This window comes from Homo sapiens, chromosome 10 (genome assembly GCF_000001405.40).
Source record: "Homo sapiens chromosome 10, GRCh38.p14 Primary Assembly".
Taxonomy (NCBI): domain Eukaryota; kingdom Metazoa; phylum Chordata; class Mammalia; order Primates; family Hominidae; genus Homo; species Homo sapiens.
Window position 1 is genome coordinate 24,426,796 of NC_000010.11, and position 24,002 is coordinate 24,450,797.

Below are 24,002 nucleotides of genomic sequence, written 5' to 3' on the forward strand. Positions count from 1 at the left end.
AGCGTGTGGGATGAATGTGCACCGTAAGAGGTCCAGTCCCACTGCGGTGCCCTAGCAAAGTGGGACGCTTCGGGAAAATAAGGCAGGAAGAGGAGTTGAGGTCACATGGTGAATATCCTTGGATACCATGTTGAGATAAAGATATTTTAGAAGATGTCCCACATTCTGGAACTGATTCTGAGACGCAAAAGATAATGAAGATGTGTGGGCACAAGTGTGACCTGCCAACTGCACCCTGCTTTTTGTAAAATGTGAGTAAGAGATCTTGGTTAAAATCCACATTCCTTTGCAAAGCCATGGAGGTGAAAGAACCCTTCAGTGTTCAGGCTTCTCAGGGGGACACTGAGCATTGCAAGGTTCATATCGACACTCACTCTGGCACAGGTTTCAGAGCTCGGCACCTCCCCCTCCCACCCCACACCCCCATCCAGCATGTGGATCCATTCTAACCCTGTGATGGCATTCCCTTCGGTTGAGGTAAAGACGGGAATCTTTTTTCTGAGCTGCACCCAGCACGCTTCAACATCTTCAAGCAGATGGTCAGCCTAAAAGTGTGAGGATAGCTCAGGTTGCCCTGAGAGGATGCTTGCAGGAGATGGACAGAGCTAAATGCAGGATTTCAGGAGAAGTATGCTTCAAGAAAGAGAGCATGGCATCTATGAATTTGGCAGAAGTGGACATATAGCTTCTGCCAAATGATGAGTTGTAACTTTTAGGCAAATTGCTTGGACTTTCTGAGCTTTTATTTCCTTATCTGTGAAATGGGGTCATAGTATCCATCTGACAAGAGATACTGTGCTGATGAGATGAAATACATACACATGGTTTCTGACATATGGCAGGCATCCTATAAATGCATTTCTCTCATCCTCATCCCTTCTTCATAAAAAGGGAGTTTGGGAGGCAGAGTCCCCTGGACAACCTCTGGGAATCTGGAGCAGCCAGCACTAACTTGGAGCGAGGAAGCCTGTGCCAAAGCATGCGGAATCTCTAGAAACCATGTGGGCTTTTGTTCATCATCATGCCAATAAAACGCCATCGGATATTAAGAGAATTCCTTCTGAGTCTAAGCATTTCTAAATACCTTTCCTGAATTGAGAAAGCAAACTGTGTAAAAGCCAAGCGTGAAAAGACTATTCTGTTTGCAAAGGCATTTTTCCCATCCTGCCTGGCTTGTCACGTTCTGTGACTGGACTCATGCACCCAGCTGGCAGCTGCACCAGCCAGACCCTGAGGTAACTATAGTTTAGGCCCATTTTTTTTCCTGCTCCAGAGACTACAAATTCTATTTCAAGCACACGCATGTACAGAATGCAGATGTGGGGATGAAAATCAGACCATCTTCTGGGAGCGAGGCTGTGATACTTAACTGTAGGGACGCCATTGGTGGCCTTTCTGCAGTGGCCTCGCCCAGGCATGGCTGGGGCATGGACCTCAAGAGCGGTTTTGGCCTTTTGATGTACCATAGCAATCACATGGGACAATCACCACACATCCCACGTGGGGCCAAGACATTGCGTGATCTGTGATCAGACAGGCTTAAAAGGTATTCTCCGCATTCTGAGGAATTTGTAACAGCATGGAGATTCTGGAAAACTAGTTCCCTGAAAAAGCTGAGGGTCAACACAGGGATGAGTGGAGAGGGGACATGGAGCCCTTATGCCTGACATGAAGGGACTGCTCTAGTCAAGGAAACAGCCACTTCAGAATGTGTCTCTACTGTGGATACAAACCAAGGGCGAGGTTACTAGGCTGGTTACATCATCTAGCAAAAGCTCTTATAGCTCAGATAGACCCACAAATGAGACATTCCTTTTCAATGACTAATAAATCATTCGTTTATTCATTCAACAAATATTTATTGAGAAACTACTATGTAACAGGTAGTCTCATAGGTACTAAGGATACAGTAGAAAACAACAACAAACTTAAAAAAAAAAAATCCCTTAGCCCCAGTTACTTGAGAAGATTGCTTGAAGCCAGTAGTTTGAGGCTGCAGTGAGCTATGATCATACCACTGCACTCCAGCCTGGGTGACAGAGCAAGACCCCATCTCTTTAAAGATAAAAAAAAAAAAAAAATCTCTGAGCTCATGAAACTTACATGTTAGCAAGAGAAACTGATCATAAGCAATATCACTAATTAAAATATGAATTATAACATAGAGTAGAAAATGCTAAGAAAACAGACATAAAGCAAGTATAAGAGTAAGAAATAGTATGGAGAATGGCTACTAAAATTCTAGCTGAGGAGGCTAGGGAGGGCTTCACTGAGAAACCAACTTTATAGAGACCTGATGGTTTGGATAGGTATAGACCTAGATTGAAAATATTTCCCTCCAGGTTTTCAAAGGCATTGCTCCATTATCTTTTGGTTTCTGAAGTTCCTGTTGAGAAAGCTATTGCCTTTCTGATACCTGATCCTTCCTATGTGACTTTTTACCTGTTCTGGGGGCTTTTAGGATTTTCTGTTTTCCCCATCTTCTGGAATGTCTCAGTGACAAACCTGTGTGTTGAGTATTTCATAAACTTTTACAATCTGCGATCTCATGTCCTTCAGTTTACAAGGAAAAAAGAACATTCTTATAATATTGTTTTGGAAAACTCTGTTTTTTCTGATCTCTTTTACCCAAATCTCCATTACTGGGGATCTGGGTACTCTGACATGATTCTATGTTTCATATTGCTCTTCTCTCTTTTCCCATCTCTCAGTCTCTTTTTTTCGGAGGGGAGGTGGCCTCCACTTTCTGAGATTGCGTCAACTTTTTCTTCTTCACTGAATTTTAAAATTCTGCTCTCATGGTTCCTAGAGACTGATCTTATCCTCCAAATGCTCCCCCTTTTTCTGGACTGTTTGTTCTCTTCCGAGTTTCTTTTTCCTGTTTCTTTGGGTGTTTTCATTTGTGTTAGAAGCTTCTATAAAAATGTTTGTGACATCTTGGGAGTCAGTTAATGTAAGAGGGAGGCACGGTTGTAATTTTGGGAAGTTTTATATGTGGGTCTGGCTGCTTCGCTATGGGGTGACCAGACAGAATCTGAATATGACCCTCAAAAATCTGTTTGTCAGGCCAGACATGGTAGCTCATGGCTGTCATCCCAGAACTTTGGGAGTCCGAGGTGGTCAGATCACTTGAGCTCAGGAGTTTAAAACCAGCCTAGGCAACATGGCAAAACCCCATCACTAAAAAAAATATACAAAAAATTAGCTGGGTGTAGTGGTTCTCTCCTATGGTCCCAGGTACTCAGGGGGCTGAGGTGGGAGGATAGCTTGAATTCATGAGGTTGGGGCTGCAGTGAGCCCTGATCATGTCACTGCACTCCAGCCTAGGCAACAGAGCAAGGCAAGACTCAGTCTCTCACATACACACAAAAGTTTGTCTCTTCTCATGGGTCATTCAGCATTCCTAGAGAGGACCCTCCAGTGTCCTGACTAAGGAGCTGGCCCCTTTGCCAGCATTCGGTCGAGGGCATATCAGCCCCTTCCCCTATGCTTGGTCAGCCAGAATCCAGTGTGTTTGATGTGGACTCTTCCATCTTCTGTGGATGTGATGGGTGGCTACCTGGCTGGGTGGGGTGGGAAGAGAGATGGACATTTGCTACATCAGTGGTCCCTAGCCTTTTTGGCACCAAGGACCGGTTTTGTGGAAGACAATTTTTCCATGGACAGGGTTAGGGGGAGATGGTTTTGGGATGATTCAAACGCATTACATTTAGCATGCACTTTATTTCTATTATTATTGCATTGCAATATATAATGAAATAATTATACAACGCACCATAATGTAGAATCAGTGGAAGCCCTGAGCTTGTTTTCCTGTAACTAGTCAGTCCCATCTGGAGGTGATGAGTGACAGTGACAGATCATCAGGCATGGGATTCTCTTAAGGCGCATGCAACCTAGATCCCTCACCATGCGCAGTTCACAGTAGGGTTCACGCTCCTATGAGAATCTTATGCTGCTGCTGATCTGACAGGAGGTGGAGCTCAGACAGTGATTCGAGCAATGGGGAGCAGCTGTAAATACAGATGAAGATTCCCTCGCTCAGCCATGGCTCACTTCCTGCTATGTGGCCCAGTTCCTAACAAGCCAAGGACTGGTACTGGTTTGTGGCCTGAAGGCTGGGGACCTTTGTGCTACACCATTTTAAAATCAAGTTCAGTCAGGCATCATGCATTCAACTCACTATGCATTTCTACCTTCAGAAGGGTTGGGAGCCTCATTTCCTGAGTTTCCCTGGCTCTGCCTGTTTTATGTTGAGTTATTCCCTTGAAGGTTTAGGTATCAGCTTGCTCTTGTCTACTGTTAGTTCCTCTCTCATTCCCTTACTTCTTTGATGTATGCTTTTGTATCCCTTATTGTCACTTTAATGGAATTTCTGGAGGAAGCAGAGACAAATGTATTACATGGGCTGCCATATTGAACCGGAATTCATTCTTTTCTCTTTTGAGTCTCCCTTTCCAAAGTTTACTCCAGTGGTAGTAGTTCACCCCCAGTAGATTCTCACAAAAAGCAAGACTCAAATTCAGTGTCAGGATTGTGGATATCCTGTTTCAGTTATCTGTTTCTGAATAACAAATCACCCTAAGCATAGTGACTTCACATGACAGTCATTTATTTGCTTATCATTCTGCAATTTGGACAGTGCTTGGAGGGGCCATCTCATTTCTGCTGGCATCAGCTGGGGTAGCTCACCTGGGGCTGGGGAGACCACTCCCAAGACGGCTCATCCACATAACCTCAGTGGTTCCAGCTGTAAAATGGGCGCTTAGATGGGGTGGTTCTTCAGCATGTGACCTCCCGTGTGGCTGGGTTGGACTCCTCAGAAGCTGAGTTCTGAAAGGAAACATCCCCAAACCAAGCTCACCAAGAGGACAAACTCCAGGGTGCAAACACATATCAAGCTTTCCTTTTGCATCACACTTGCTAATATCCCATTGGCCAAAGCAAGTCACACAGCCAAGCCCAGAATCAACGTGGAACAGAGCTGCTCTCCACAGATGGGTGAGTGCTAGGAGGCAGGGTGCACTGGGGCCCACATACCCCCTGGGAACTCTGGGATCCTGTGCTTTTTCCATTTTATTTCTGAAACATTGAGGTGCCAGATTCTAGCACGATATGAACATTCAATAAATATGTATTAGAACCACAGAAATCTTGTTGCATTTCCACTGAAAATGTTTCTGAATGGACTAGACAGATTTAAGCTATGTAGCTTACCCATGGCTATAATGATTGTGTTCCTAGTTAATGAAAGACATGAAAAAAAATCACTCTATGAGGTCAGATTTCTAAATATACCTTTCCAAGGAATTAAGTATCGTCCTTTTTTTTTTTTTTTTTTTTTTTAAGATGGAGTCTTACTCTATCGCCCAGGCTGGAGTGCAGTGGCGTGATCTCAGCTCACTGCAACCTCCCAGGTTCAAGCAACTCTCTTGCCTCAGCCTCCCGAGTAGCTGGGATTACAGGCATGTGCCACCACACCCAGCTAATTTTTGTATTTTTAGTAGAGATGGGGTTTCACCATGTTGGCCAGACTGGTCTGAAACTCTTGACCTTAAGTGATTCGCCTGCCTCAGCCTCCCAAAGTGCTGGGATTACAGGCGTGAGTTACCGAGCCTGGCCAAGTATTGTCTTTTGCTTTAGGCTACCAGAGGTTTGCTTCTTGCATGTTTGTTTTTGAGTCAGGGTCTCACTCTATTACTTAGGCTGGAGTGCAGTGGCGCAATCATAGCTCACTGCAGCCTGCAACTCTGAGGCTCAAGTGATCTTCCCACCACAGCCTCCTGAGTAGCTGAGACTACAGTCATGTGCCACCACACCCAGCTAATTTTTTTTTTTCCAAAGAGATGGGATCTTGCTACATTGCCCAGGTGGGTCTCGAACTCCTGGCCTCAAGCAATCCTCTTGCCATGGCCTCCCAAAGCACTGGGATTACAGGCATAAGCCATTGCACCCAGCCCTTGAATTTTTGAAAATTAGGCTCTTTAACACCTGCTTGGACTTCAAAGAACGAAGGTGAGTACTTACACAATAACCAAACAGTGCATTCCTTGGAAATTCCAAACCTAGATCTCTTGTTACATGCTTGCCAAGCTTGTCCTGAACGTTCCTAAGTGCAGCAGGAAAGAAGTGGCTCAGCTTGTGCTGTGTGTCCCCTGAGTCTTGACCTGTGACTAATAACTGTTTCCTTTGTGTGCAGGGGTTCTCTATCTCCAGTATGGAGATGAAACCAAGCAGCTCAGGATGCCGAATGAAATCACAAGTGCAGACACAATCCGTGCTCTCTTCGTAAGTGCCTTTCCACAGCAGCTCACCATGAAAATGCTGGAATCGCCCAGTGTCGCCATTTACATCAAAGATGAAAGCAGAAATGTCTATTATGAATTAAATGATGTAAGGTAAGTTGTGACATCATTTTTTGCCTGCCATTTTGCCTTAGAGTTTTTTTTGTTTTTTGTTTTTTTGTTTTTGAGGGGTTTTTTTTTACCCACTATATTGCATTTAGAGTGTTTTTTTGTTTTTTGTTTTTTGTTTTTTGTTTTTTGTTTGGTCCATCATATCCCTTTCATAGAGTTTATACCAAATTCTAATTTCTTTATATCCTAGTGAAGAAAGCAGATTCATTATCCTGATTGGTTGGGCTTATTTCACCCAGTCAGATGATTTCACTATCTGGTTTTCTACAATTCATTTACAGGGTATAGCTTATAAAAACGAGGACAAATTTCTCCGCCACAGATTTTTGAATGCTACATCTGAAAAGAACATTAGAAATGATTCAGTCCACCATTTTATCTAAGGGTTAGGGAAACTAAGGCCCAAAAAGGTAGCGGAGAGACCTGATCGAGGTCTTAAGAGTTGTAGGCAGTACTTCATTCATATTGGAACTTTCCCAATTCCCCCTCAAGTGTTCTTTCCTCCATAGAAAGACCCTGTGGACATTTTAGGTAATGATCCCACTGGGTCGTTATTTACACATAACAAGTTAGAATAAAAGCAGTGGGCTCTGTATTATTTTCCATAAGAAAAGAGACTGAGAAGCATCTTCACTTTCCATTCATTTCTTAAAGAGTTGTCCTTTACCCAAAGATCTTACTTTCCAGGTGGCCTTTCCCCAGGGCCCCCAGTTGAATATCCTCCAAAATTAAGCTAAATGGACTCCTGCTATTGATGGGATTGAGAGTCAGTTAGAAACAAAAGCATCTCTCTCTCCCTCTCTCTCTCTCTCTCTTTTTTTTTTTTTTTTTTTTTTTTTTTTTATGAGACAGTCTTGCTCTTTCGCCCAGGCTGGAGTACAATGGTGCGATCTCCGTTTACTGTAACCTCCGCCTCCTGGGTTCAAGCGATTCTCCTGCCTCAGCCTCCCAAGTAGCTGGGATTACAGGCGCCCACCACCAGGCCCAGCTAATTTTTTTCTATTTTTAGTAGGTACGGGGTTTTACCACGTGGGTCAGGCTGGTCTCAAACTCCTGACCTCAGGTCATCTACCTGCCTCGGCCTCCCAAAGTGCTAGGATTACAGGTGTGAGCCACCATGCCTGGCCTCATCTCTCTTTTTTTGAAGACAGGGTCTTGCTCTGTCACCCAGGCTGGACCTCAGTGGCATGATCATGTCTCAGTGCAGCCTCGACCTTCTGGGCTCAAATGATCCTCCCACCTCTGCCTTCCGAGTAGCTGGCACTACCGGCACATGCCACCATATCTGGCTAATTTTTAATCTTTTGTAGAGACAGAATCTCCCTATGTTACCCAGGCTGGTCTGAAACTCCTGAGGCAAGCAATCCTCTAGTCTCGGACTCCCAAATGGTTGGGATTATAGGCGTGGGCCACCACACCTGGCTCAAAAGCATCTTTATTGTCATTTTGGTGTCATGTATACAGTAGAAAGAACTCATTTGATCTGTTCCAACCAAACAACCTGGAAAACAGGACTTAGATCAACACAAGCAATCAGTTGCTAGTATGGTCTCTAAACATTTTAGAACTCCACAGATTATTTAGTGACTAATCCAGCCATTTCATTTTATGGAACCAGAAACTCAGACGCATAAAATTTGAGGGACTTATTCAAAAGCACACAGCCAGCTAAGTACCAAGCTCTGCCCCAAATATGGCTGTTCACACTTCTTGGTCAAGAACTTTTTGATTTCTTCGAATGTTCCCTCACCAAATCACTGGAGGCAGAACTTGGGGTTTCTGAGTCCACACCCTGGGGGGAATAGCAAGTTGCCCTGTTTCTTCATCATGGAATTAATGGGTACCACTTTTAAAAAATATGCCTCTAGTGCATAATAAATGTAAACTGATCTGTATCTACCAATGATCACAAATGACATATTTAGGCATGTGCCCAGGTGTATGAGTAATTTAGAACTTTCAAAGTTTGACACATGCCTCAAGGTATAGATACTACATCTGTTTCACAACCTTACAGCTTTTTAAAAATGTGTTTAAATATTCATGGGTACCCAAAAATTCATGTTTGTTTTTAAACTAAATTATTAATCAAGCTGTCACCAAAAGAAATTTTTTGCATTCACAAAGCGTAAACTTGAAACATGAAATAATCACATTATATTTAAAGACAATGTTTGTAGTAATATAATCCCACATACTGTTTTTACATGGAGCTGCCAGTTACAACAATCATCTTACATTTCTGCCTTTGCAATTAGAGGAATTGAAGGACACAGTAATAGCAAGTAAACATGCAACTTAGGGAAGCCACACTTGATTATGGAGCTCAAGGCTGATGAGGTTATTATGAGTAATTGGGCCTCACTGTCTTGCAGCCTGTGCAAGGATTTTTATATTACAATGAGTCACCATTTTCTAGAGCTTTTCTCAAGCTTCAAAGTATGGCTACTTTGCCTTCTTTTTTACATTGTTTGGGAAAGTCGAGAAGTAGTCACAAAATAAAAGAAATGAGAGGGAGGAAAAAGAAGAAAAGGTCATGATTCTCCTTAATGGAAATCTAGTTGATAACATAAATGAAACCATCAGTCAATATGTTGATATTTGTGAAAATGATGATCTTGTTGATCCGTAAGTTGTAGTATGGATAGCCTAACTTTTTTTTTTTTTGAGACAGAATTTCACTCGGTCGCCCAGGTTGGAGTGCAGTGGCATGATCTCAGTTCACTGCAGCCACCACCTCCTGGGTTCAAGTAATTCTCATGCCTCAGCCTCCCGAGTAGCTGGGACTACAGGTGTGCGCCACCACGCCAGGCTAATTTTTGTATTTTTAGTAGAGATGGGGTTTCACCATGTTGGCCAGGTTTGTCTCGAACTCCTGACCTCAAGTGATCTGCCCACCTCGGCCTCCCAAAGTGCTGGGATTATAAGCGTGACCCACTGCTCCCAGCTTGATAGCCTAAAGTTATTTTTAAAAAACTCTCATTTAAAATATTTAAGTGGAAAGATCACCGATTTATAAATTTGTCTGTAATTTTACTTTTCAGTTACTTTGATTTAAATAAAAAAAAGAACCTAAAAATGTTCAAATGTAGACAATGTTTTATTTGGTGATGACAGTAATGTTTATGCTATGTGAGCACATGCATGTCGCTTCCAAAGAATTATTCTATTTCTTGATTTTATGCATTAAATGCCTTGATTATATTTTATTTGAATGGTAGAAGAAATTTTCACCACCAGCATTATATAAGACAAAAAAAAAAAAGGCTGGGCGCTGTGGCTCACGCCTGTAATCCCAGCACTTTGGGAGGCCAAGGTGGGCGGATCACGAGGTCAGGAGATCGAGACCATCCTGGTTAACACAGTGAAAACCCGTCTCTACGGAAAATACAAAAAATTAGCCGGGCGTGGTGGCGGGCACCTGTAGTCCCAGCTGCTGGGGAGGCTAAGGCAGGAGAATGCTGTGAACCCGGGAAGCGGAACTCACAGTGAGCCGAGACGGTGCCACTGCACTCCAGCCTGGGCGACAGAGTGAGACTCCGTCTCAAAAAAAAAAAAAAAAAAAAAAAAAAAGACAAAAGAAAAGTATCATGTAGATTTCAACTGGAGACAGTGACTTTAATCTTCTAAGTTCAGAGACAAATTTCACTGCACTTCCTTCAGTGTTTCTGAAGCGTGAGCATATTTGCTAAACAGTTGCCTATCTCATCATTGTGTTAGGCTCCTCATATTTTCCTTAGGGAAATGCTATGGAGAGTTCAGGTCAGAATATTGTGTTGTAAATGTTGCCACAGTAAATGCAACCCCGGCCTTTACTGTTGGTTCATCTCAGATGAATATGTTTCTAAAGTCATGATAAACCAACCTCATGCATTTTAAATACCTCCAGAATCACAGTTAGTCTTTTTCATGGCTCCCGTGAGGTTTTCTAGTTTTTCACGTCCTCGCCTGTGACTCCTTCCTCTGGCCAAATGGGGAGCTCCTTTAGTGAAACCCCACATCCTTACCTCTGTGAGTCTCCCCTTCATATTCACCCAGCCCCCTTTAATAACAGGGCTGCTGGTTCCCCCTCAAGCCGACTTCTAACAAGCTACTGGAGCAACCGTGCAAGCTTGGGCTAGTCATTGCTTCAAAGCAATTACTGGCGGATATTTAAAGGAGAAAGAGAAGACTAGTCCAAGAATCCTCCACTTCAGTTAAAACAGAAACACAAGCCAGTAATCCCAGTGATTGGGTCAGCCCACTAAATGAGGCTGCACCTGGAAGAGAGGAATTCTTCCTCCTGCCCACATTTCTCTGAGCTAGCCCAGCCGGCATTGGAAGGGATCACAGTGTAGACAGAGCCAAAAGGGCCTTGGGTGGCCCTTCTGCTGATGAAAGCTGAACATGGAGGGAGAGAGACTTCATAGATATTCATGTGCTCTTCGATAATTTTAAGGTAGGCTCTGATCCTGTCTTTTGCTACGTTATGACACCTTGGCTCTAAGAGCCGGGTTCAGAGAAAAAAGAAGAATTTATCTGCTGCTATTTCTTCACATCCAGCAATTCGATTTGTATATAGAAAAACTAATTTTCTAACCCACTATGGAAGGAAAAAAGGCATGGTAAAGATATTAGATCTTTTTGGTACTGTTTTTTTTTTTTTTTCTGGACTCCAGATACCTTTTCTTTCAGTTGCCGAAAGTGTTTGAAGGCAAAAAAAAAAAAAAAAAAAGAAAAAGAAAAAAATCTTCTTTCATGTACATTCATTAGATAAGCAGCAAACCAGGTGTTTGGGAAAAGTAAACAATTAAATATTTAAATATCAACCAAATCTCTTTGAATGTATTGTAAATATTGGAACTTTATTTTTTTTTTTAAAGCCTTAGTTTCCATACTCGGAATCTTGAAAGAAAGTTCGTGCCACCCAACATTTATGGGTGGGGAACTATACTGGAGGAATAATACTTTCTTGGGGAACAAGAAAAGGAGAGAAAAGCTGAAGTCATTTTTCTTCTTCTTTTCCGTATTTATAATTGCCTATTTTATGGTCACATAGCTTTTGACTGGCGTACTGTAGATAGCCTTTGGATTGTCTGTTCATGTTTTTTACCTGATCTTTAAGGGCAGGCTAAGGAAATGGCCAAAGTCAGGCTTCTTTCATCTGCCATAGTTATCGATGTTTTTGATTCCAGGAACATTCAAGACAGATCACTCCTCAAAGTGTACAACAAGGATCCTGCACATGCGTTTAATCACACACCAAAAACTATGAATGGAGACATGAGGGTAAGTGTTTCTGTCATATTTTTACTTATCTTCAGTGGGTCAAAGCGTCCCTCCTCTTGCTTGTACTCCTGATGTAATCAGAACTCTACAACTGAGTTTTGGAGGGTTCTCCGCACTCATCTCACCTAGTGGATCATTATTTGTTCTTGGTAGAGAAGTAAGATTTCCTGGTTATTTAGGGCAAAGGGATTAAAATAAGGCTGGACACATCCTAATTTATCTTTAAGCAAGGAGTTATGTCCTTACTTTAAATGAATTCTGAAAATCTTCCTATAAAAGGGTCCCTGGTCCACAGTATATTAACTGACTCAGAAGATCTCTTGCATTTCTTTCTCCAATTAAAGCAAACCTAACATACAAAAAGGCAAACAGCAAGGTGCACAATTGCATGGAAAATCTATTCATACTCTTACATTAGCTCTTCCAAGTTCTAACATTCTAATTCAATTTCTCACCTTCTAATTCAGGAGCTACCCTGGAAGAATTTTGTTGTTGTACTGTCTTAAATATTACCATATCCTCTCTGAGCCATGCTGAGGTCATAATACAAAAATCCGCATGATTTGGGAACTAAAATTCTCTAGCTTTAGATTGTCTCAGGAGATTATCCAAACATTCAAAGCACACAGGGATGTTTTGAAGAAAAAAGAAGGAGAAACTGAAAAAGCAGATTTTAAGATCATATTAATGCAGGTCCACTAGAAAGGGATTGAGTTTCTAAAAATAAGGCTACATTCCTCTGTAGCAAAACTGGGAGGTAAAAAGAAGATTAGCTTCTCAGCTGTACACCCCCTACACACACACACACACATTTGGAAGACACTGTGCCATTTTTTCTCATCTTTTCTACAGATTAGCACTTGGCTGGATGCTCAAGTTTAGCTAGAAAAATAAATAAATAAATGATTACCTTTTATTGCCAAAGAAACCCAGGCACTGTTCTGTCTTGGAGCTGCAGTTTTGTTCCTGAGCGAGGCTGTCTCTGCTTCCTGATAGTACATATTAGTTTCCTGTTGCTGCTGTAATAAATTAGGACAAATTCAGTGACTTAAAACAACACAGATTTACTCTCTTAAATTTTAGAGTCTGTAGACTGAAAGTCTCTGGTCTGACATAAGGGGTCACCAGCAGGTATGCATTCTTTTCTGGAGGCCCTAGGGAGAATCTTTTCTTTTTTTTTTTTTTCCCCCAACTTCTAGAGGTCATCAACATTTCTTGGTTTGCTGTCCTCTTCCTCCATCTTCAAACCCAGCAAGATAGCTTCCCTTTGACCCTGCTTCCATGCTCACATCCCTAACCCTCCCATGTCCACTTTTAAGGACACTTTAAGGACATTGAGCCTCCCTGATCCTCCAGAAAAATCTCCCTATTTCAAGGTCAGCTGACTGGCAATCTTGACTCCCCCTTTTCCATGTAACCTGATGTAGTCACAGGTTGAGGGGACTAGGATGCAGACATCTTTCAGGGACCAGCATTCTGCTTTCCATATTGGGTAAGTTTAGAACCATAAAAGAAGCCAGCAGATCTAGCTGAAAGTGCTGGGAGAAGGTCTGTCCTTCTGGACTGGAATATGAATGACGACATTGTGGGATCAGAGCCTACACTTCTGGAGGGAAAGGCCTCTCACGTACTCAACTGCTGTTATTTTTGTGTCAGAAATGATGTGTGACTTGAATTGAAAGCTGTGTCGCTACTTCAGAAATTCTAGGATTTTCAGCCTTATTTTGCCAGTTATACTTTATGTGTAAACCAGAGCCACATGGAGACAGATTGAGTCATGCCAATCGTGAAGCATGGACTAAATATTACAGCACCATTTGCCTTTTATTACTCTGTTATTCTCTTTCTTGGAGACATTCATCAATGTCTTCGCTCCTTGAATATCTTTATTTTTTGCTATGTCTAGCCTTCACCCTGGAGTTCCATGGTGCTGAGAGTTCTGTTCCTATCACATAGAGCCATTTCCACACCGGTGCCCCAGAATCGCCTCTGAGAATCTTGTTTGTGGCTGGAAAGACACCTGTTTTAACCCTCCAGCAGCTCTGGTACCTACGTAAGGACCAGCAGTGAGGACTGAGAGTATCGAATATTGACCGTATGAACAAAGCTGATCAGGATATGCAGAACATGTGCTGTGGGTTTCTGCAGAGTGGTTCTGTTCTTACTTCAAGATGAAACCCTGCTGATCACTTTTTCTGGGTTACCCAGAGCCTACTTTAAGCCCTCATTTTGTGTGTGTGAGAAACTCAATCATTGTCCCCAAATGAAGGGACAGTAAATGTTCACCATCTAACCAGCAGAAAAGCTTTTGTGTTTCAATGCAGATTACTTAGAAATGAGAAATAGAAAGCGGTTTCAAAGCCAGCTAGGTGTGATCATGCCTGCAGTTTGCAACTTGGTTCCTGTTCACAGATTGCAGACGCTAAAAGGCATGGAATTCAGCTGCCCTCACCTTTTGGCTCTGCAGGTTGGAATTCTTTTTCCTTTCTTGATGAATGTGGCTGCATTGCCATTAAAGGGCAGGAAGCTTTGTTGAGCCCTGCCTCTGGAGCCCAGCTGCACAACCCACTGCCCATGGTGGAGAACAGAAACAGAGAACAGAGCAAGCATCAATTGTTGTAGACTAAACCACGCTGCAGCGTGGGGTTAGGGAACTCCGTCCTCCCTTATGTTTGCAATGTGAGCGTGGCCATGAAGGAATTCGATGCTAACTACTCACATGAGTCAGTCACTGCAGTCCTGCCCCTGATGTCATTAGACCTCACTCCCCAGCCTCCAGAGACAGCCTGGCACAGACCTCCCAGCTGCCTGCTTATGACCAATAAACATGCATGTCATGAAAAACATCAGTTGGAATAAGCAGAGGGGCAACAAAAGTCACACCAGAACTCCTCAGGGGCTCCTGAGACTTTCCTTAACCAATGAATGTAATATCTTGCCTTTGAAAGAAAAGAAAATGTAAAACTCTCCATCTAAAACAGTCTTCCCAGAGCGGTTTTATGATTGGAAATGTGTTACTCAGGAAGCGTGCTAGACTAGGCCTCAGAGTGTGCGTGGAATGCATGCTTGGTGGGGAAAACGTGTACTAAATTTTCATCTAGCATCTAGCTGAGCATTTTTGAGGCTAGTCTGTCTAAGGAGACTTGTGGTTCTCGGCTGGAACTCAGCATACCTGGCTCCTGTTTCTCTACCCACCACCCTGATCTAATTTAATTGCGTGGCTTTTGTTTCCTTACATCAGATAGGAGCTTTGATAATTCAGTTCCCAAGGGACTGAGCTCACCATATGGAACAGGCCCTTTTGCAAAATTTATATATGTACTCACAGGGTTTTAAATTCACAAATGTACAACTTGAAGATGGAACCATTCCATTTCATGACTCTCAAAAAGTACACGTTTTTCCATACCAGCAGTTTGTTGAAGGAACTGGACAATTCTGCTTTGAGGGTGACTTGCTAGTCACCAAACCTGGTGGCTTTTTCATAGTGTGGGGGCTTCTCCACCTTCTTGTGTGCTTTAAGACAACTTTCCAAGACTCTCTGCTCTCATCATTTAATACTCTCCCTCTTCTCTGCTTCCTTTAATTTCTCTTGCATGTCTTTGATTTTTACTTGTATATAGACAATTACCAGATTGGCCCTACCTCTTAAATTATTCCCCAATACCCAAGGTAACTGCTGCCTCCCACCCCTCTTCTACTGATCTTTGTATTTGACACCAGTGAATGGTCCCCTTATAAATCATTGGTCTCCATGGCACTTTTGTGTCTAAATACCTTGTCTGCATTCACAGACACCTCAGCTTCCTTCATTCCCTAACTCTTCTTCCTCTTGCCTGTGTTTAAGCAGGCTTCTCTAGTTTGGAGTTTATTTGTTTTGTTTTTTTAAATTTACTCTTTTTTATCTGAACCTTTGCACTTGTGATTTTTATCTTACCACTTGTTTGACTATTACATCAGTGTGGTTGACCCTTGAAGCCATATCCCTAACTCTGCCATCTCTAGAATTCAAGACCCAAATGTTCAGCTTCTAAGTGTCTTCATATGGAGATCATTTCCGTGGTTTCCAATGCATTCTGTTGAAGAAAAAATTCCTAATCTTTTTTCCACTCAAGTCTTTATCCTTCTTGATTACCTTTTGAAGAATGGAGGGGCTATGATAGGGTGTGTGTGTATGTGTGTGCACATGCATGTGTGCCTGTGTGTGTATGCATGCATATTTTGGGGAATGTGGGAGGAGGGATGTAAAACATTGAGTTACCAATGATTCTTCTCTTGCCTGACCTTTATTCTTCCATGCATCCAGCTGGTCACCAGAGTTCATCCACTCCACTTTGCAAGGCCTCTAACAGATGACCCTTCTGCCACTGCCTGTACCAGTATTCTTACAATAGCTAACTTATTTGAGCATTTATTAAGCACTTTTGTGGGATTTTTTTTTTTTTTTTTGAGAGGGAGTCTCACTGTGCCATCCAGGCTGGAGTGCAGTGTTGCAATCTCGGCTCATTGCAACCTCTGCCTCCCAGGTTCAAGCGATTCTCCCACCTCAGCCTACTGAGTAGCTGGGATTACAGGCATGCACCACTATACCTGGCTAATTTTTGTATTTTTAGAAGAAATGGGATTTTGCCATGTTGGCCAGGCTGGTCTCAAACTCCTGACCTCAGGTGATCCACCTGCCTCAGCCTCTCAAATTACAGGCGTGGGCTACTGCGCCTGGACAGTAATGTTAATTATTTAATCCTCAAGATAAACTTTTGAGCCAGGTCTTGGTATAAGCCCCCCTGTTTACAGATGATGAGACAGCTCCTTATGTTAAGAGATTTCCCCAAGGCCACACAGCCAGAGAGTAGCAGAACAGAGATTTAAACCCAGGCACCGTGGCTGCTGAAATTATAGCCTTCATTATCTCTCTACTGAATCACCTAACAGTTCTTACTTCCCACATCTCATTCTCCTGTTCTCTTTTTCCAAGTGTCTCAAATTCACTCTCCCTCTCTACATATCTGCCTTTCAAAATTCTACTCATCTAACATATTCCAGAACAATTGTCTAATTCCTTCAGCAAATTGCAGTCATGAAAAAAAAGTGGGGGAGGGAGCACAGTTAAGTTTCTCGGGGGTCTTCTGTACCATAATAACAAAATGTGGCCTGTGCACCATCTTCAGATTTTGAGAAGAACAAAGCAACTGTAAAAGACATCTTTAAAACTATTTGGGAAATTTGAACATGTGTTAGGAATCAGGAGATATTAAGGGATAGCTGGTAATTCTGTTAGGCATAATAATAGGTTAGTGGTTATGTTTTAAAAGATGGAACATACTAAAGTGTTTACAGGTTAAATGACATGAAAAATGGGACTTGCTTTAAAATACTGCAGCAAACCAAGAAAACAAAAAGGTGGAAGTAGATGAAACAAAATGGTAAAATGTTGAAAAATGTCAAAGCTGGATGATGGGGGTACCTTTTATTGTTTTCTCTACTTTTTTGTGTTTGAAAATTTTCATAATAAAATCTGTTTGTTTTCTTTTCTTTTCTTTTCTTTTTTCTGAGACAGAGTCTCACTCTGTCACCGGGCTGGAGTGCAGTGGTGCGATCTCAGCTCACTGCAACCTCTGCCTCCCGTGTTCAAGCAATTCTCCTCCCTTAGCCTCTTGAGTAGCCGGGACTACAGGTGCACACCACCACTCTTGGCACATTTTTGTATTTTTTACTAGAGACGGGGTTTCACCACGTTGACCAGGCTGGTCTCGAACTCCTGACCTCAGGTGATCCACCCGCCTCGGCCTCCTAAAGTGCTGGATTTACAGGCGTGAGCCACCATGCCCAGCCCATAATAAAATCTTTTACAAAATAATAAAAACTTGTTTTTAGAGCCCAAATAAAAGACTTCCTACCCCAGGAAGCTTTCGCTAATGCTCTGTCAGAATTCATCTTTCCCTTTTGGGGGCCTGTTGCACATTCGCATTGTGTTATAATCATTTAGCTGTGTGTTCATCTCATGCAAAAGACTGTACACTCTTCAAAGCCACAAGCCATATTATGTGATGATTCATCTTCACGTCCCTCCAAAAACCAGTCATGGCATCTTAACCCCTGGTGAGTGCAGAGTAAACACACTTGTTAAACAGGATGCGCTGAGTGTCCTACTGATGGTCCTACAAATGCCATATTATTCATTTTCTATCATTAATGAGGACCCACTGTAAAAATATCTCTCTGTTCTCATCACCAGAAATAGTTGTGCTTCTCCTGGTTTATTTTTATCATATGGACACTTTGAGTCTTGTAAGTGATCATTTTCCCTCTTTGTGTTGCTACTCTAAAGCTTAGAATTAAATTTGTGGCCCACCCACAGCAAGGGTACAGGCATTTGTGGCGTGTGTTTTGTGTGTTGGCTTCATTCCTGGACTCTCTTTTTAATTTTCCTACTTTCATCTTCCTTTGGTTGCACATTCTACTTTGACTTCTTTTTTCTGTAAAACTGTAAAAATGTATAGGAACTCTATTAATTTCTTGGTGCAATCTATCAGGATATAAATAGTATTCATTCTCTACCATCGTTGTTCTAGATAGAAGATAGCAAACCTTTTTGTGTCTGCAGAGTAGGCAGTGTGTTAAGTACTTTACATATTATTTAAATTAGTCAGTAACTCTGGCAAAGTGGGTATACTGACTTCGTTTTCACAGGTGATAAAACTGAAGCCAAAGAGGTCTTTCCCAAGCTCACACATCTGATCAATGTTGGACACTGGATTTGAACTTGTTTCTGCTTGTTTATACACAGCCCACAGCCTCCCTTCCTTGATATTTCCATTTAAGTTTTGCAATTTTGAAGTGATGTTCCTACTAAGACTTTAGAACAAACAAAATATGCTTTATTAAACATTTGTTTCATTTCTGTTTTTAATTATTATTATACTTTAAGTTTTAGGGTACATGTGCACAACGTGCAGGTTTGTTACATATGTATACATGTGCCATGTTGGTGTGCTGCACCCATTAACTCATCATTTAGCATTAGGTATATCCTAATGCTATCCCTCCCCCCTCCCCCCACCCCACAACAGTCCCTGGTGTGTGATGTTCCCCTTCCTGTGTCCATGTGTTCTCATTCTTCAATTCCCACCTATAAGTGAGAACATGCGGTCTTTGGTTTTTTGTCCTTGCGATAGTTTGCTGAGAATGATGGTTTCCAGCTTCATCCATGTCCCTACAAAGGACATGAACTCATCATTTTTTATGGCTGCATAGTATTCCATGGTGTATATGTGCCACATTTTCTTAATCCAGTCTATCCTTGTTGGACATTTGGGTTGGTTCCAAGTCTTTGCTATTGTGAATAGTGCCGCAATAAACATACCTGTGCATGTGTCTTTATAGCAGCGTGATTTATAATCCTTTGGGTATATACCCAGTAATGGGATGGCTGGGTCAAATGGTATTTCTAGTTCTAGATCCCTGAGGAATCGCCACACCAACTTCCACAATGGTTGAACTAGTTTACAGTCCCACCAATAGTGTAAAAGTGTTCCTATTTCTCCACATCCTCTCCAGCACCTGTTGTTTCCTGACTTTTTAATGATCGCCATTCTAACTGGCGTGAGATGGTATCTGATTGTGGTTTTGATTTGCATTTCTCTGATGGCCAGTGATGATGAGCATTTTTTCATGTGTTTTTTGGCTGCATAAATGTCTTCTTTTGAGAAGTGTCTGTTCATATCCTTCACCCACTTGTTGATGGGGTTGTTTGTTTTTTTCTTGTAAATTTGTTTGAGTTCATTGTAGATTCTGGATATTAGCACTTTGTCAGATGAGTAGGTTGCTTAATTTCATTATACATCTCTTTCATGGTATCTTTTTATATTTAATTTTGCTTCATTCTCTTCTTTTCTGAGCACACTAAAAATATATCCATTAAAAAAAGAAAAGAAAAGAAAAGAAAAAGAGTGAGTTGCCCATTTAGTATGTGTGTCTGCAGTGGCCACTGAACTCAGAGCACTTTTTCTCACAGGGCAGTGTTCTTGTTGAGAAGAGGGGTTTGGGATTCAGGGAGTATCAAGTCATCCCGTAGTAACAAAAGAATCCCACAGAAATGGAAGTTTCAGAAAACACTCCTAGCTGATAATCTATTTAGAGATCGTTTTTGACCCACCTGTAATATCCCCTTCACTCATGCAATGACAACGGTATCAATAACTAACATTCCTGACGTGCTTACTCTGTGCCAGTCACCATACTGAGCAATTTGCTTGTATTTACTGCCATTTGATTTTCACACCTATACAATGTGAGAGAAGTTCTTATTATTCTCCTGTTTCAGAAGTGGAAGCTGAGGCTTAAGAGAGGTCAGTGTGCTTGCTCAAAGCTACCCAGCTAAAGAGAAGTGGAGCTGAATTTAGAGCCAGGCAGGCCAACTCTAGAACTGGCCTTTGTAATCATGCCTGTGGTCACTACCGTCCGTCCTTTCCCACCACTGTCTTCATCAGTGTGTCGATGAGTCATCGCCACATGTCCATGGGCCTCTCATTTCTGAAGACCTAACCCAGAAGCCACTCTCTTCATCAAGCCTCTCTCACTTCTTTCCAAACCTCACCACTCACTGTCCCTTCTCGAAACTTCCATAGAACTTCACCTCCCTGCCCCGCTCTCTTTGTGCACTCCCCTTTTCCTGACTGCACTGAGTTATTGATGCACGCTTCTTTTTCTTTTCCTTTCACCATTTTATTCTTTTTTTAATGAATGATTTATATATTTATTTATTTATTTATCTATTTATTTTATACTTTAAGTTCTGGGGTACATGTGCACAATGTGTTATATATGTATACATGTGCCATGTTGGTGTGCTGCACCCATTAACTCGTCATTACATTAGGTATATCTCCTAATGCTATGCCTCCCCACTCCTCCCACCCCACAACAGGCCCCGGTGTGTGATGTTCCCCACCCTGTGTCCAAGTGTTCTCATTGTTCAATTCCCACCTATGAGTGAGAACATGTGGTGTTTGGTTTTCTGTCCACACGTCTTAAGTGTCTTTCAGCTCTAAGCTTCTCAGGGACAGGGTCTCCATTTCATTCATCTTCACGCTCCCTGTGGCTCTCTCGGACAATGCCCTGCCCTGAGTAGATTCTCATTAAATACCTGGATAGAAAAAGATACTTACTTCAGCCCTTTTCTATCACCAACTTTCAGTTAATTAGTGCCTTATCTACTAAGAGCGATACAGTGATTTGTAAAGGTACGTGTTTGAGGCTTATAGCACATTACCTAATGTATCCCGCTATTGGCCACTGACCCAAATGAGAAATAAGAATGTCTGCCTTTCCTCAGTCTATCAGTATAATTTGATAGAAGTTAATTACCCTGGGCTGAGCGCGGTGGCTCACACCTGTAATCCCAGCACTTTGGGAGGCTGAGGCGGGCAGATCACGAGGTCAAGAGATCAAGACCATCCTGGCCAAGATGGTGAAACCCTATCTCTACTAAAAATACAAAAATTAGCTGGGTGTGGTGGCGCGTGCCTATAGTCCCAGCTACTCAGGAGGCTGAGGCAGGAGAATCACTTGAACCCCGGAGGCAGAGATTGCAGTGAGCCAAGATCACACCACTGTACTCCAGCCTGGTGACAGAGTGAGTCTCCACCTCAAAAAAAAAGAAGTTAATAACCCTGAAGTTTAAGAATAACAATAAAGAAAAAATCTGCTTTGTCAGATTAAAATAAGTGTTCATCAGAAATACACAGTTATCTAACCTTTTTTTGCGTGGGGGGGGCTGGAGTTTTCAGGAGTTGAATTCACCTGTGGTAGAACGTAAACTAAATCCCTAGACAACAAATCTAAATAAGATAGATCTGATTTTGCTGTGTTTATAATTCACTAGGAGAAATCTTGCTTTTATTTTGCTTTATTTTTATTTTATTTTGAAGGCAGGGTCTTGCTCTGTCACCCAGTTTGGAATGCAGTGGCACAATCATGGCTCACTGCAGCCTCAGCCTCCCTGGCTCAAGTGATCCTCTGCCCCAGCCTCCTGATTAGCTGGAACTACTGGCACACACCACAATACTTGGCTAATTTTCTGAATTCTTTGTAGAGACACAGTCTCCCTATGTTGCCCAGGCTGGCTTTGAACTCCTAGGCTCCAGGGATCCTCCCTCCATGCCTTCCAAAGTGCTGGGATTACAGGCATGAGCCACTGTGCCTGGCCCCTTGCTTTTAGATTGAGTCGATAGTCAGTATTTCAAATATCTCTAAACTTACACCGTAAGGGTGATGATTTTTGAACAGTTAACCTAACTTCATTACTGTAAGCGTTTACTGATTCACTCAATCAGCCATAGTGAGTCAGATCCTTCCTCTGGTCTCAGCTCTCATGCAAGATCCTGAAGATATATTGGCAAAAAGCAATAATGATACAGACAATAATCAATTAACTCAATAATCAATAATGATACAGACATCTATAATTTTTCACATAAGTTCAGGCTCATGAAATCCTTGCCTGTGTTCTATAATTTGCTGGAGTTAACACTATGGAACTCATTTATGAGTGATATACATAATGATATCTTTTTTATATTGTGCTTTTCTGGGAGGCAAAAAGATGTTTCTGTTATGATTGATAAGGAAGGACTCTTACAGAAATGATTAGCTAGGCAAACACATTTGAATACAGTGGCTGTCCAGAACATGGGAGATATTTTCTTGTTCCTTCTCTGCTTCCAGTTATAAAGTCTTATTTTTTAGAAGCAAGAAAAGGTAATATATGCACATCTGATATGCAACTTCCAAGTGATACAAATCTCATCTTTCCTGCTGCGTGGCTGCTTGCTTTTCCTTGTACTATTTTTTTTTTTATTTTTTGTCATTGAGAGGTTATGACAACATGAGCCATATTGTATTTATAAACATCACGTGTTTCCTTGATATGGCTTGCAGTTTCTGCCAGACAGAACACATGGAAGAAACATTTCTCGTTAGTTCAGCATTGGTTTTAGTTATGCTGATTTCCGGGACAGGAAAAATGCCTTCCTACTCAGAATTAACTTTCATAGAGTAGAAACAAAACCTCTGAATGTCCGTGAAATAGTTTTAACAAGAGTGGATACTGCTCCTTTAAACCACATATTTTGACTAAAAGCTTCCTTCTGTAAAAAACCCAAGGCTTGCATTTAGTCACCATGAAGACAGGCAAAGCTGAAAGCATTGGAGAGAGGGGTGGTTTCGAGGTCTCTGCAAGTCTAGAAAGTTTCTTCTAGAAAAGAAAGGCTCACGGAAAATGTAAGGTAAGAACTGTGCCTTTATGATAGGATATTATCTTTAGAATCTTTTTTCATGCTCTGGCACGTTTATCTTTCATTAACTTGTCTTCTGTATTCAAGTTCAATGCAATAGGCGATTGCAATTTTAGGTTTTATTTTAACTTCTTGCACACTGCCTAGAAGAAAACCTCTCTTTGTTATTGACATTATTCTGTTTTTTTGAAATCCACTTAAATTAAACTGGGCTGGTCTTCAATCTATAAATCTTGTGGTCTAGTTTCTGGCTAACCTTATAATTTGGAATGGGATTTAAAGTGCCAACACAGTTTGCTTTTACAGGTCTTGTTGATTTATGTGCTCTGTGACAATTTTCAGTGTTTTCATGAAGTTGTTGACATACATTCAGTGTCTGAGGCAAAGTCGATAATTTGAAGGCATGGTACAAGCAAGGAGGGAAATTCATATGTGTCCTTTAACATTCCAGGGAAAAATTATTTGGTGTTTTGTTCTTGTGAAAATCACTTTAAATTTAAAAATAAAAATAACCTTTATCCTGGTCTTGAAAAAATTTTAAAGAAATAGCAGTTTAATCTGTATGAAATCACATTAAAAACTTCTACAGTTTTAAATGACAAGCTTGATATAACAAATCTCTTATAGCAGGTTTAGTGATTGCCTGAAAAAGTCTTTGACAGAAATCTTGTTTACTTGAGATAACTATTCTGTCAACTCTTGCAGTAATTCACTCACAATATTTTTGCATTGATTTCCTTTAAAGGAATTTAATAAGAGCAATGTCCTTTTAAATCAGTCTGTTTCCTTTCAAAAGTACATGTGTTCATGAATTTGCTTGTTCATATTTCTGTGGATATCTTTATCCCAGTTTATAGATGAGTTAATATACCTGAGAAGTTGTTATCCAATGTGGTTTACGTAATATCTATTATTCTATTTAGTCATCATGATAACCCTATGGAATAGGTACTATTACACCCATTTTAAGTTTGGAAAACCAAGGCTCAGAGAGGAACAAGATCAAGATCACACACTTGTAAGT

The 24,002-nt window shown here is 41.5% G+C and overlaps 1 protein-coding gene and 1 long non-coding RNA gene across 42 annotated transcripts in view, besides 5 other annotated features; one reads left to right on the plus strand and one right to left on the minus strand.

Moving 5' to 3' along the window:
• The window catches only part of KIAA1217, an 853,117-nt gene that overhangs the window by 732,069 nt on the left and 97,046 nt on the right, over window positions 1–24,002 (plus strand). For 30 of the 41 annotated variants that reach the window (NM_001098500.3, NM_019590.5, XM_047425513.1 and 27 more), the window contains 2 exons: window positions 6,200–6,398; window positions 11,591–11,684. In NM_001098500.3, coding sequence (NP_001091970.1) covers window positions 6,200–6,398; window positions 11,591–11,684 — 293 coding nt within the window. Of the gene's footprint in view, window positions 1–6,199; window positions 6,399–11,590; window positions 11,685–22,618; window positions 22,970–24,002 lie in introns of those variants that run through there. The other 11 variants (XM_017016424.2, XM_047425526.1, XM_047425528.1 and 8 more) reach the window with 1 other exon arrangement.
• LOC124902395 (uncharacterized) lies at window positions 4,596–12,671 on the minus strand. The gene is made up of 2 exons (XR_007062090.1): window positions 12,595–12,671; window positions 4,596–4,833 (listed from the first exon to the last, which is right to left on the minus strand). It is a non-coding gene; the product is annotated as an uncharacterized LOC124902395 (long non-coding RNA).
• Window positions 5,613–6,812: an enhancer, noted in NCBI's record as "CDK7 strongly-dependent group 2 enhancer chr10:24721337-24722536 (GRCh37/hg19 assembly coordinates)". NCBI's record gives its function as "activates an origin of replication core promoter dependent on BRD2, BRD4, P300/CBP, MED14 and CDK7 cofactors, with strong dependence on CDK7, by STARR-seq in HCT116 cells {active_cell/tissue: HCT116}" and the evidence as "EXISTENCE:reporter gene assay evidence [ECO:0000049][PMID:35650434]".
• Window positions 5,613–7,326: a biological region, named in NCBI's record as "CDK7 strongly-dependent group 2 enhancer GRCh37_chr10:24721337-24722536".
• Window positions 5,668–6,304: an enhancer, noted in NCBI's record as "NANOG-H3K4me1 hESC enhancer chr10:24721392-24722028 (GRCh37/hg19 assembly coordinates)". NCBI's record gives its function as "activates a minimal SCP1, AML or CMV promoter by ChIP-STARR-seq in primed H9 embryonic stem cells {active_cell/tissue: H9 hESC(primed)}" and the evidence as "EXISTENCE:reporter gene assay evidence [ECO:0000049][PMID:30033119]".
• Window positions 6,650–7,326: an enhancer, noted in NCBI's record as "OCT4-NANOG hESC enhancer chr10:24722374-24723050 (GRCh37/hg19 assembly coordinates)". NCBI's record gives its function as "activates a minimal SCP1, AML or CMV promoter by ChIP-STARR-seq in naive H9 embryonic stem cells {active_cell/tissue: H9 hESC(naive)}" and the evidence as "EXISTENCE:reporter gene assay evidence [ECO:0000049][PMID:30033119]".
• Window positions 13,999–14,048: an enhancer, noted in NCBI's record as "active region_3159". NCBI's record gives its function as "activates an Ori minimal core promoter by ATAC-STARR-seq in GM12878 lymphoblastoid cells {active_cell/tissue: GM12878}" and the evidence as "EXISTENCE:reporter gene assay evidence [ECO:0000049][PMID:35858748]".